Below are 13359 nucleotides of genomic sequence, written 5' to 3'. Positions count from 1 at the left end.
ACGGCAGGGCTACCCCCCATCCCATAGCCCTACCCCTGCCATGCCAATTTCAACCAATGCTTCCCACCCACCCATCAGTTGCAGTTCAGGGCTGATCAGACGTGAACACCCCACCCAGGAAGGTCTCTCAGGGCTTGTAGATGCTCCCAGGTGTGCAGTAGGCACGCAGCCCCTCCCCTGGGGTCTTTGCAGAGCCTGGAGCCCAGCGGGCCTCCAGAAGAGGGTGATTTGGGATGGAAACACACAGGCTCTTCCCTGTACATAATGAGCAGGGAGTGAGCTGATAGATATGCTAATTTCATTATTCATGTACATAATTACAATCTAGAAGTTGGCAGCTTTCTAGGTAATGACAGGAGGGAAGGGGAAATTTACCTAACTTTTGTAATATATGTGTGGTATTATTTAACTCTTAAATTAAGATCAGGGACCTAATTCATTTCAGGAGGCTCGAGGATATGAGGCTCCGAAACAGAGTTCCACCCCATCCCTCCTTCCTTCAGCAAATACCTACCTTGAGCCAGGCCTTGGGCCAGTTTTGGAGTTGCTATGGTGATGGAGGCTCAGCAGTGTGAGAAGGGCAAGATGGAGGAAGAACAGGCAGCCAGGGGGAGCACGGAGGGACCTGCCCACTAAATCCTGGGGAGGCAGGAGGGAGTCAGAGAGAGCTTCCTGGAGGAGGAGGCACCTGCTCTGGTCTGAAAGATGATGTGTAAGAGTCGTGCATGCTAAGGAGAGAGAAATGTCTTTGAGAGGGTGCTGGTGGTTGGCAGGAGTGAGGAAGAGCTTGGACAAAGGCCAGGAAGTGAGGCCACAAGGCATTTTTGAGGATGCTGAGCTGGCTGGAGAATGGAGGGGAGGAGCTGGCGTGTATTTCTGAGAATGGGCCTATCAAGATTCAGATCTTAAAATCGGACGTGCTCAGCCTCACTGGGAACCCCAGCCTGCCAGCCCGATGTGTCTGGGGCCCACAGCTCCTGCCTTGCTCCCCCCACCTGATAAGGCCTGGGGAAGGGTGATAAGGGGAGAGGCCCTTTTGGTGCCTGCCAGCCTTTGGCTGGGCACCCAGCTGGGGGAAGCAGGATTCAGGCATTCAAGAGCCCCCCACCCCCCGCCCAACACGCCAAGATGGGCAAGTTTTGAGCCCTGGCCTCTGAGCAGGGAGGGGGTACGCTCCGGGAGCAGGCCCCCTGCTGTCCTAGGGAGCCTGTTAACAAAGCCAGCTCTGGGCTTTCTTCCAACTGGATGTGGGGGCTTTGCAGAGGGGCCGGGTCGCTGTAGGGGGGTGGGTGTGAAATTCTTGATTAGGGCTGACTGTGGCCTGCCCCCTCCCCTGATGTTGCTCTTCCTGCCCCCTCCCCACACTTGAGGGAGAGGGAACAGCTGCACAAACACAGGCCGGGGGTGCCAGAGGGGGCCGGGATGTGAGATGCCGTGTGGAGGGGGCGGGAGGGTGGGAAGGTTGCTGCATGAATGTATTTGTGTGTATGTGTGTGTTTGTGTGTGTGCGTGTGGCATGCCTGTGTGTTTCACACATGCATGTGCTGGGCACGTGGCTGTGAGTGCGGGACATGGATTAGGATGTGGGTATATCACCTGTGTGTACATGTAAGTGTGTAAATGCGAGTGACTGGGAGTGTGCTTGTGTGCAGGTGCAGATGTTAAGTCTGTGCATATGCATATGTGTGTGCACATAGGCAATTGTGTTGCCATGCACGTTTGAAGCATGCACGAGGGATGGTGTGGTACATTATGTGGGATGATAAAGAATGGACATGTGGTGTGCCTGTAGGTATGATTGTGTAGGTGTGTGTGTGTAAAAGTTACATTTTGTGCATGCACATGTGTAGGTAAGGGATGGGTAGGGGTGTGCACATGTGTGTGATTGTTGGTCGTGCCTGTGTATATATGTATAAGCTATGGTATGTGCACGTGCATGTGTGGATATAAGGGTGTGTGTGTGTGTGTGTGTGTGTGTGTGTGTGTGTGTGTGTGTGCATGTGAAAAGGGGAAGGGCTTGTTTGTGATGCTTTGCAGGGGAAGACCCAAGTTAGGGCTCAGCCCTTGTCCAAGTTCTGAGTGACAACCACGTGGAAAGCAGCCCCCTCCTGGGATGCCCCTGGTCTGCAGTCCCTGCCCACAGCCTGGCATCTCCCCCAGGGCCCCAGGTCCTCCTGCAGGCTAGTCATGTATGGCTGCATTCCTAGGAGGGAATGATTTGTTTTCCCTTGAAGTCCATCCTTCTATAATTCTTTCCATGTATTTCTCTGGATTTGTAGGTTAAAATCCATCCCTGGCGGGGCACGGTGGCTCACGCCTGTAATCCCAGCACTTTGGGAGGCTGAGGCAGGCGGATCACCTGGGGTCAGGAGTTTGAGACCAGCCTAACCAACATGGAGAAACCCCGTCTCTACTAAAAATACAAAATTAGCCGATGGTGGTAGCGCATGCCTGTAATCCCAGCTACTCGGGAGGCTGAAGCCGGAGAATCGCTTGAACCCGGGAGGCGGGGATTGCGGTGAGCTGAGATCGTGCCATTGCACTCCAGCCTGGGCAACAAGAGCGAAACTCTGTCTCAAAACAAACACACACACAAACAAACAAAAAACAAACCATCCCCAGCCTGCTCCAGTCCCCCACCCAGGGCTCAGCTCAGTTCTGGGAATGCAAATGGTATCCTTTCTGCTGGACAAGGGGCGGATGCTAGGTGAAGACCTACTATGTGCCACACACCTGGCAGGGTCAGTTACACTCCTGCAGTTACTGAGCCCTTGCAAGTCTTGAGTGAAAGCTAAGATTTTGCATTAAAAAAGAGGACGCTGGGATTTACTATCACCACGACTAGACAACTTGCCTGAAGCTCATGGAAGTTGGGAACCTTGTATCAAAATAGAACAACTGGGGACCTAAGCCAATATGGGAACCCAGATCTGACTCCTGAATTTAAGCCCTGCCTTGCCTCATGGACCTACTTCATTGCATCCTTCCTGGCCACCATTCCTCAACCAAACCTTCTTCTTAAGGAAGGGGGAAAAATGAGCTAACAGCTGCTAGGAGATTTGGAATGAATGTGAAGTTCTCCAGGTTAAAATGGAGACCAAGGGAAATTCATATGATTCCACTTTCCTCATCTCTCTGGATCCCTCATCGAGCCAGTAATGTATTCCCCCTTCTTGCTAACACACTTTTTAAAATGTTAATAGACTGTAAATTACTTTTCTTTTTATACTTCTTAAAATAAGCGTTTCCTCTTGTAGATGGCAAGACGACGCTGGAGTTACGGGCTTGGTTTTATTACTGTCGAGATGAGATGGACTGGAGAGAGCTCATACAGCTTTTATAGGAACTATTTTATTTATAAGAATTTTCCTAATGTCAGATGGATGTGACATGCCTGGTTTCTTTCTGCCCGCTATTGAGAGAAGAGAGGTATTTAGCATGGACTGGGTCTGGTTCGCATTCCTTTGCCCTGGAAATTCTAGAATTGTAGAAGGAATTTTCTTTAGCAGCCTTAATGCGATAGTCTTCCAGTTTCTCCTTGCATACCTCTGGTGATGGGGAACTCATTTCCTGTTAAGACAGCCAGTCTCAGGTGCAAGCTCCAACTCCTTTCCTATACTTACCTACCCTAGCTCTGTTCTCTGGAACTGGGGGGGGAAACCTCTCCACAGTCAACTTTGGGAGACTCTCAGGGATTAGAAGGCAGCCACTATTTCCTGTTCTGGGTCTTTTTTTTCTGCATAGTCCTCTGACTCTTTAAATCCTTCCCCATCACTTCATCATCTCACCCATCATCCAAAATGTATTCAGAATTCTTTTCTCCAGGGTCAGAAGGACTGTTTCAACATCTCGTAGTTATCAAGACCAGTATTTCTCATGATCACTTCTGAAAAAAATCCCAATTCTGGTCATGTTTGTAAGAATTTTATGTTCGGATGAATTTTGGACATGCTGGGTTAGGGAAATATAAGCTTGTTGCTTTGCAGCAGGACTTATCAGAGCCTTAGATGATTGATACACACTAGGATTCTCAAAGGGAGTGGAGTAGGCAGCACTTCACAAACTCAAGTGACTGTGGATTCAGGGGTTTCCAAAGGGCATCCCAGAGGGCATGCATCCCCTAAAAACAATTCCAAAATGCTGTTTTGGTGTGGCTCTGGAGTGGGAAGTGGCAAACCAAAGGATAATGCCCGTTAGCCCATAGAAAACCAGCCTGTTGGTTCTGTTACAGCATCTCCTTACAGTGGCTTCTTATATTGTGGGTGCCTCAAAATGGCACGTGTGATGGCTGATGCGAAGTTGAATTCATACGTGACTCTCAGCATAGGGGTGTGCCCTCTATTTCCCTCTCATCCCCCAGTCCTAGCTCAGTTTTCCCATTATGAGCAATGAACAAGGTGGATCTGTTAGCCTTTCAAGGTAACTTCTAGCTCTGACCCACTGGAAAGCTGGGGCTTGGGATGGTTGGGTTTGGGCTTATGAGAGTGGTGTTAAAGGAGGAACAGTTGGACTGTTGGGGGACGGGGAACAAAAAGGAAGAGAAGAAACAGTTAAGGTGCTCTGGAAACAGGTCCCAGCCTGCCATGTTTTCCCTGTGGGACTTTGGCAATGATGTCACCTCTCTGACGTTCCGACTTCTCATCTGGAATGTGTAAGAGATTCATCTTGGCACCTTCCTCAGAGGGCAGATGGAACACGAGACCGGGCACAGAGGAAATACTCGATCCATCTGAGTGCCTCATTTACTGAGCTCTTGGAAGAGCTGCTTTCCTCCTGGGAACCCTCTCTCCAGCCAGGCAGGACTTCCTGCATTGCCTCAAATGTGCCAAGCCTACTGCTGCCTCAGGGCCTTTGCATATGCTGCCTGCTCAGCCTGGAACCCACTTTCCAGCTGTATCCCCATGGCCCATGGTAGGGGCTTCATAACCATTGCCTGAACTGTTGTGAGATGAAGGTCCTTGTATGTCTCAGAGAGGCCGCCCAGCTCATGCTCACAGTCTAGCAAGGCCTGAAATCTGCCTTTGTCCTACCTTGAGGGAACAAGCATCAACTCCCACACATGCACCCGTAAGTCTCCATTACAGCAGTTTCCAGCAGCCCCAGGGACAGGAATGATGTTGGCTGGGGGGTTGCCAGTTACACACCCTACCCACCCAACCCAGCCCATGGCCCTTGGTCAAGGTCATCTCTGCAAAGTGCAGACACTGTATTCAGGGCAGACTGATGATGTCCCCTTCCTAGGTTGCCCATGCTGGCCACCAACTTCATCAATCTTGAACAATTGGCCACAGGCTTGTTTTCTTAAAAGTGATGTTACCTCTAATTATCTCCGACAGGACGTGGCGTGTGCTCCTTATTCTCCCTTTTCAGCTCATCCGAGCACGTGCGAGCACTGCGGCTGAGATAATTGAATATCTTCTTTAAACCAACAGGCTGTCTGTTCTCCCCTGCACTGGGCAGGCATCTTAACGTGGTTCCGTGAGGCCAGTCTGGGGCGTCTGCCGAGAGTAGGAGAGGATCTACAGCACTGAAAGGCTCCACTCACCCAAAACGCCTCCTCTCATGGCTTTGTCATGTGCCTGATACTCTACCCTTTGTTGAGTCTTTGGGTTGAGGGGCATTGGGGTTGAGACCCAGGTGGCTGGGTTTACATCCCAGATGGGCCATCTTTGAGCTGTGTGATCCTGGGGAAATTGCTTAACCTCTCTGTGCCTTGGTTTCCTCATATGTAAACTGGAGGTACTAGTCATATCTCATGGGGTTTTTGTATGTAGAACAGCACCTGGCATGTAGTAAGTTCTGTGTCCATGTGGCCATTATTTCTGTCGCTGTTACTGTTGTTTTTGGGGAGTTGTGGGCAGGGCGAGGAAGGGGACTTAATAGAGGATCAATGCAGTTTATTCTTTGCTATTGTTTTTTTTAAAGACACGGTCGGGCACTATCACCCAGGCTGGAGTACAGTGGTGCTATCATGGCTCACTGCAACCTCTGCCTTCCAGGCTCAAGTGATCCTCCCACCTCCATTTTCCAAGTAGCTGGGATTGCAAGCATGTGCCACCACGCCTGGCTAATTATTTCGTATTTTTAGTAGAGATGGGGTTTCACCACGTTGCCCATGCTGGTCTCGAACTTGTGAGCTTAAAGTGATCCGCCTTCCTTGGCTTCCCAAAGTGCTGGAATTACAGGCGTGAGCCACTATTCACATTTATTATTGCAGGCGTGAGCCACTATTCACATTTTTAAGTTAACCTTTTAATCCTTGGGGCTGATCTCCTGAAAAAGGGTGAATCCAACTGTGGTGGCAGAGAAATTCACGAAGTTCAAGGGACAGAATTTCCAACCGGAAATGGTAAAGCAGCAAGGATCCCAGAAGATCATTTGGGCCCAGCCCTTTGCTTTTCAAATGGGGAAACTGAGGCTGACAGCAGGATCAGAACTTGCGCAAGGTGAACTCAGCGTAAACCCAAGGCTTGACGAGAATGGCCGTGATAAAGAAGATGCATTTATTGAGCGCTTATTATGTGCCAAGCATGCCCCTTGCACTGTTTTGTTTAACCCTTAACCATAGCTGTATGAGGTAGGTCTGAGAACTATTCCATTTTTCAGATGAGAAAACTGAGTCTCAGAGAGACTGAACAGATCAATCAGTCTGTAAGAGTGGAATCAGGATTTGAACCTCAGTGTGTTCAGCCCAGAGCTGGCATTCATGCCCACTTGGCTCTCCAATGGGGGACTAGGAGGCACTGGGGGAGGCTGGAACCCCTTTGGCAATTCAATGGAAGACTCTTTGCTTCTCTTGGTTTGATACATTGGGGATCCGGGTATGTGAGCCATGACTACCAGGGTTTCCACCCCCAGCAATGACAACCTCCTAGGAGAATTCTGCTCCCCATAGGCAAGCCCTGAGTGGTCTTTCCTGACAAGGAGGAAACCAGGAGACTCCACAAGGCTCTTGTGTGGGCTGGGTCAGTGGGAGCTTCCCTCAGCCCAGGCTCCTTCCCCAGCCTGCCCCATCTATCCCCAGAAGCCCCAGATGGCAAGTGGCCATCTCTGCAAAGAGCTAGATTTCCTCCCTCTGTCAGCTTCAGGTAATGGAAGGATTATTTCCCTGTTCCCACAATGCACGTGGCCCCGGGGTTATTGCACCAAGGAGATCTTTAAGGACAATCCATACACCTCTGCCTTTCGGCCTCAGAGCAGGATGCAGGCTGTGTGTTCGGATAGAAACGACTGTCCCCCAAAGAGAGGGCTGAGGTAAGAAAAGAAAGTTTCCCCCATTTTCCAAAATATCCCGGGAGTCTGTTGGGAGTGCTGGACACAGCAGGCCAGCAAAGCATCACCTGATCTTGCCTCGGTGCCCATCATTCCCTCCTCCAGCTCCTTGGTCCACACACCTTTCTCTTCCATCTCCAGAGGCCTGCTCTAGGTGCACACCGGCCCCTCTGCAAATCCCCGGCTGGCCGAACGGTGCCCTGGCAGACAAATGGCTCTCAATAATTAAACTGGTATTGGTTTGTTGAGCAGGTGGGAGCTTTGATGTCAGTGGCAGAACTTTGTGGAAGGAAAGCATTTCATTTTCTGAGTAAATGTTGCTCAGCTGCTATGAGATTTTTTTTTTTTTAGATGGAGTTTTGCTTTTGTTGCCCAAGCTGGAGTGCAATTGTGTGATCTCGGCTCACTGCAACCTCCGCCTCCCAGGCTCAAGCAATTCTCTTGCCTCAGCCTCCCAAGTAGCTGGGACTACAGGCATGTACCACCACATCTGGCTAATTTTTGTATTTTTAGTAGAGACAGGGTTTCACCATGTTGGCCAGGCTGGTCTCGAACTCCTGATCTCAGGTGATCCACCCGCCTCAGCCTCCCAAAATGTTGGGATTACAGGTGTGAGCCACCACGCCCAGCCTGCTATGAGGCTTAAACATGTTCTCAACCTTACCCTCTGTATGCTCACAGGACCCTGGCCTCAGGAGAAGGCAGTGTGGAAGTATCAGACTTCTGGGATGGAGCAGTGGGGCAGCTCAGAGCACAGGACCACAGGAGTCCTGAGACTTGAAGGAGGGATATAATAATAATTACAATAATAATAATTATTATAGAGTGCCTGTTATTGGGTCCTTACCATATGCCCGGTACAGTGGAAGCAACCAACACACCCAGACCTTTGGAGAAAAAAATGTCTACTATTCCCATTTTGCAGAAGGGGAAATTAGGCTCAGCAAGAAAGTGACCCTATAAGCGCAGGAGCCAATCAGAGCCTAGGCCTATCTGGGTCAAACTTATGGGCTTTTTAGCTCTGTGGCTGCTCAAGCTCTGTCTAGGTCTGTAGCAGACAATGACTTCCTGAATTACCCTGGTCGAGTTGTTTGCCCTTGAAAATGATGGTGATGGATCAGTCAGCCTCTACTCCCTTGTGGTCGCTTCTTGCGGGCTTGCAGAAGGCCGTGCGTTTGCTTGTGTGACAGTGTATCTCCACGCCTTTGCACCCTGTGAACTATGCATTCCTGTGTCAATAGAGCCTGCGCAGTGTGAACGGATATTCGAATGTGTGTGGATCAGATACGCACCCTCAGGGGAAGTCAGCAGAAAGGAAGCCCCAAGTTGGCCAGCAAGATCCAGTCAATCTATGCCATTTTCCTGATACCCCCAGCTCTTGACACAGAGTCTAGATGCCGTGGTTCTGCACGAAGTGTTTGCTGAATGGCTAAGTGAAGGTCTGTGCAGGCCTGGAGGGATGTATGTGTGTGTGTGTGTGTGTGTGTGCGCTCACGAGTCTATGTAGGTCAGTATGGGAGCACACAGGTGTGAGGCATAGACTTCCATAGTGGGTATGAGGTAGTTACGAATAGGCCAGGCAACAGCTGTGTGCGCTCTGGTGAACTCAAATTCTCTCGTGAGTCTGCATGTGCTTGTGTAAATCCATGCAACCTTTTCATGAGACCACTTAGGTGTGTGCTGGGTGCGTGTCACCCAGAAGGTCAGGGGAAAATGTGCAGCGATCGGGCTAAGGCCTCTAGGGCACACGAATCTGGGGTGGACTGCTAGCTCTGCCACAGGCATGCTGTGTGACCTGAACCTGGTGGCCTTCCTTCCCAGAGGCCCTACTTTCCGTAACATGCACACAATTTCCACACCTCCCTTGTAGAGATGTAGAGGCGTCCCCAAGACAGTATATGTCAAATACTTTACCCAGTGCTTGGCACGCTGTAGGTTCTCAATTAATATATTTTTAAAAACTTCTTGTGTACCACTGGAGTTGGGGGCTGGGCTCCTGAGGACTCCAGGTTCGAGGCTAAATTTGCAGGTCTGCCACCTTCATTTAACAAATATTAATTGGGAACCTAAACTAAGGCCAGGAACACCTGGCGGCACCGCTAGGTATTGTGTCGGGGGCAGTGGCTCTCACAGTCTCATGGAGGAGTCAGGCACAAAGGAAGTTATTGCATTGATAATAATTCCAGCTACCTAACAGGGTACTTCATGGAGGGATAAGGTCAGAGATGACAGGAAGGGCGTCCCTATGGAAATGGTACTTGGCCTGGAGTCTGAAGGATGAGTTAGCTGTAAGGAAGTGAAGAGAAAGAAGGAAAAACATTGCAGCCAGTGGGGACAGCATGTACAAAGGCCCTGTGGTTTGCAGAAGTGTGGTGAGGGGAAGCCCTGACGGGAGGAAGTTCCATTGTGGGTGGAGGCTGGGGAGGAAGAGAGTGTGGGTTAGAGGGGCTGGTAGGGGTTGGTCTTTGTGGCTATGGGGGAGAGGGAGAGTTTGGCCTCCATCCTAGGATTCCAAAAGCCATGGAAGGTTTAAAGAAGGATGTGACAGGCTCAGATCTGGGTTTTTGAAAACTGCCTCTGGCTACCCCAAACCTGGAGTGGACAGCAGCCTTAGGTTGGGAGAGACATGTAGCTGATCCTTCCATGTTAACCTGTCCTGCCAGGGTGACCCCAGGGGAAGGATGTGGCCAGCACAGCCTGTCGGGAGGCAGGGAGCCCAGGTCCCCCTTCGCCTCCAAGCTGGTGGGCTCATTTACATGATTCCTGCTTAATTCTCCCAGGGTATGCAAATGTATGCAAACCACAATCCAGGAGAGGCAAAAATAGCAGGGCGCATTAGCATCCCCCACAGGAATATTGTTTTATGCAAACGATGTGCTTGGAGCCTGCTGAGCAGGCGGAAATGAAAGATGCCTTCCTGGGGGCTCCGGCGAGTCCACCCACCTGACCTTTGCCCTCCAGGACCCTGGCCAGGCCCCTGCTGGGAGGGAAAAGCTCTGGGGTATGGAGGCAGGTGGTGGGTGGAAGACCCTGGCTGCCCAGTGGACAGGGGCCAGTTCAGGGTCCACGGGGTGGGAGGACCCCTGATCCCGCCGCTACCCTCGTCGTGCCCTGGCCTCCACCCTCTGACTGTCTGGTCTTCCTCCCTCCTCTATTCCCCTTCCTCTGCCCTCTGTATGTTGTCGCCTTCCTCTTTGCTTCTCTCTCTCTGATCATTTTTTCTCTTCTCAGCCTCCTCCGGCCTTTCCTTCTCTGCTGAGTCTCTGCCTGACCTCCTGGTCTGCTACCCCAGAATTTGCTCTCGTGCCCCTTGGTCCTTGTCTCACCCCGGGTCTCCATCTTCTGCCCCTCCTCGCATCTCTCCCTGTCTCTGTGGCACCCCGCCGCTTTGTCCCTGTCTGTCTCTGCGATTTCCTGGCTCCCAGTCTCTGTCTCTCTCTCAGTCTGTATCCCCGTCATCTGTCTGTCTGTCTCCATCTCAATATGCACCTCTCTTCACTCCCTTCTTTCTGGCTCTGTCGCTCCCTCTCTGTTTTGTTCGGTTTTGATTTAATTTGTTTTTCTGGCGCTCTCTCTTGTTCTCTTCCTGTCGTTGTCTCTACGCTGCGTCTCCGTCTATTTCATGATCTCTCTGTCACTTTTGCTCTGTATCCCCCACCCCACGTCTCCCTCCTTGCCTCTGCTCTGCTTCTTCTTCCTTAAGAGACCTGGAGACCATCCCAGGACTCACGGCAGCAACCCTTGCTCACATCTGGAGCAGGGGCTATTGGGCGATGTGGGGAGAAGCAGGGACGCCTTCATGCCCCCAAATTCCAGTGGTCACCCAGACCCCTGATGGCAGCCCACAGGAAGGAGCCTGGTCTAGACAGGCTGTGGGTTTTGAGAAGAGGCTGAGCCTTCCCTGATCCCTGGAGGCCTAGGTCTGGCTATGCTGGCCCAAGCTTGCCTGAGGCTGAGGCTGGAATGTTGGGGAGAGAGTAGATAGGAATTAGGCCTGGTTCCCTCTGGGCAGGGACATGTCCTGGCAGCAGATACTTCCTGGCTGTGTGATCTCTGCAAATGGTTTCATCTTTCTGAGCCTCAGTTTCCATCTCTGTAAAATGGGTCAGTACTGGTGTCCAAGTCTTGGATTGGTTGTGGGACTGGCCTGACTCATTGCCATTGTTTACATGTGTTGCACTTACTCAATATTAACCACTACTGTCATGATTGTCATTGCTCCCATATTTCCACTTAAGCTCTTGGTGCCTCAGTTTCCTCATCTGGAATATGGAAAGACTATCTCCTGCCTTTGGGTTGTTGTGGAAACTGGATGATACAGTTGCAAACTTGGCACATAGTAGGTGTTCAATAAACTACCTTTTAAAGTCTTCTTAGACTAGCTGCATGACTTTGGTAAAGGCATGGCTGCCCCTTTCTGGGCCTCAGTTTCCCCACCTGGAAGGAGGTCAGCGCAGAGCACCCTCTGAGGTCTCCTGGCCAAGCTGCACTGGACTGGGGCTCCTCGGGTGGCTGCCAGTCGGTGGTGACTCCACAGTGCCACCAAGTGGCCACCCATGTCACCATGGGGCAAACTTGGGGGCTGGGGACCGACCTGTGTCTAACCTCCCTATCCCTGCTGCAACCCCAGGCCCATTACACAGATGTAACAAGGGCCCAGAGGGGAAGAGCTATGCCCAAGGGCATGCGGCCATGAGTAGAGAGGAAAGCCTAGATTTCTGGGGCTGGATCTCGCTTAGACTTGCTGGGTGACGTTGGGGCAGTGCATTCCCCTCTCTGAGCCATGCTATCCTCACCACATCAGACTGGCCTGGAGGCTTCCTCCAGCAGCCACATCCTCCATCCCTGTGGCTGGTCCAAGGCTACATCACTTCGGTAGTTCACAGTTTTATTAAGCGCCTACTCTGCGCTGAATAGAGGATAAATAATACCAACAATGACAATGACAGTGATAATAATAATGGTAATTATTCACCAGCAATGAAAATGTTCTGTGGGTCAGGCCATGTGCTCAGCATTTGCTCAGTGCCAGCTCATTTAATTAACACGAGGTGGAACTTTCTAAGCACTTTACAGCAATTAACTCATTTAATCCTCACAACACAGTGAGGCTCAGAGAGGAAGGAGAATGCATGTTTTTGCCATTAAATTATTTCACTATATATTTAATGAGCACCTAGTATGTGCTGAGCCCTGTGCTCAGCCCTGGGGGTCCAATGGTGAAGGGCATAGAGATAGTCATGGATCACATGAGCTCACTGTTTAGTGGGGAGAAATACAGTAAACAAACAAACAAAAAATGCCCCGGAATGCAAACTTAGGAAGCATTACAAGAGATTGGAAGGGAATGAAGAGGGAACAGTGAGAGGGAAGAGGGAGGGAGGCAGGTAATCAGGGAATGACAGCCTGAAGGAGGAGGTATTAAAGCTGAGGCCTAAGGGAGGATTGGGAGCCTGCAAACTGTGGAGGTGGAAGGACCAGCCTGCGCAAAGGTCCTGTAGTAGGAGGAGGCTTGCCCCATCAAGAAACGGAGAAGAAGCTATGGCAACCCTCCAACCCAGGAACCCCTCTGCAGCCCCAGATTCCGGTGAAGTTTATATCAGGGGTTCTCAGCCTCTGAGAAAATTACCAGGGAGCTTAAAAAAAAAAAAAAAAAAAAAAAGCCAGGCACAGTGGCTCACACCTGCGATTCCAGCACTTTGGGAGGCCAAGGAGGGCGGATTGTTTGAGCTCAGGAGTTCAAGACCAGCCTGGCCAACGTGGTGAAAACTCCGTCTCTACTAAAAAACATACAAAAATTAGCCTGGTGTGGTGGCGTGCACCTGCAGTCTCAGCTACCCGGGAGGCTGAGGCATGAGAATCACTTGACTCCAACGCTGTGGTTTTGATAAACTTCAATGGCTTAGCATTGTGTAGGGGAGGAGGGTTTCTTTGAAGATAATATTTATCAGTAATTTTCCCCTTTGTGGCCCAGCCCTACCCTGGGGGTCACGTGAGCCAGGATGACTCTCTATGCAGAGTCCTGACTTCCTATCTTATAGACCCCATGTAACAGTTGTGCTAGTAAGTTAACCACAGGTGCCATCT

At 50.8% G+C, this 13359-nt stretch overlaps 1 annotated feature.

Annotated features, from left to right (window-relative positions):
• Positions 9689-10241: an enhancer, noted in NCBI's record as "H3K4me1 hESC enhancer chr22:27803625-27804177 (GRCh37/hg19 assembly coordinates)". NCBI's record gives its function as "activates a minimal SCP1, AML or CMV promoter by ChIP-STARR-seq in primed H9 embryonic stem cells {active_cell/tissue: H9 hESC(primed)}" and the evidence as "EXISTENCE:reporter gene assay evidence [ECO:0000049][PMID:30033119]".

The sequence above is a fragment of the Homo sapiens genome, chromosome 22 (assembly GCF_000001405.40).
Source record: "Homo sapiens chromosome 22, GRCh38.p14 Primary Assembly".
Taxonomy (NCBI): domain Eukaryota; kingdom Metazoa; phylum Chordata; class Mammalia; order Primates; family Hominidae; genus Homo; species Homo sapiens.
Note: the sequence above shows the minus strand (reverse complement) of the source record. Positions and strands in the feature narration are given on the sequence as shown.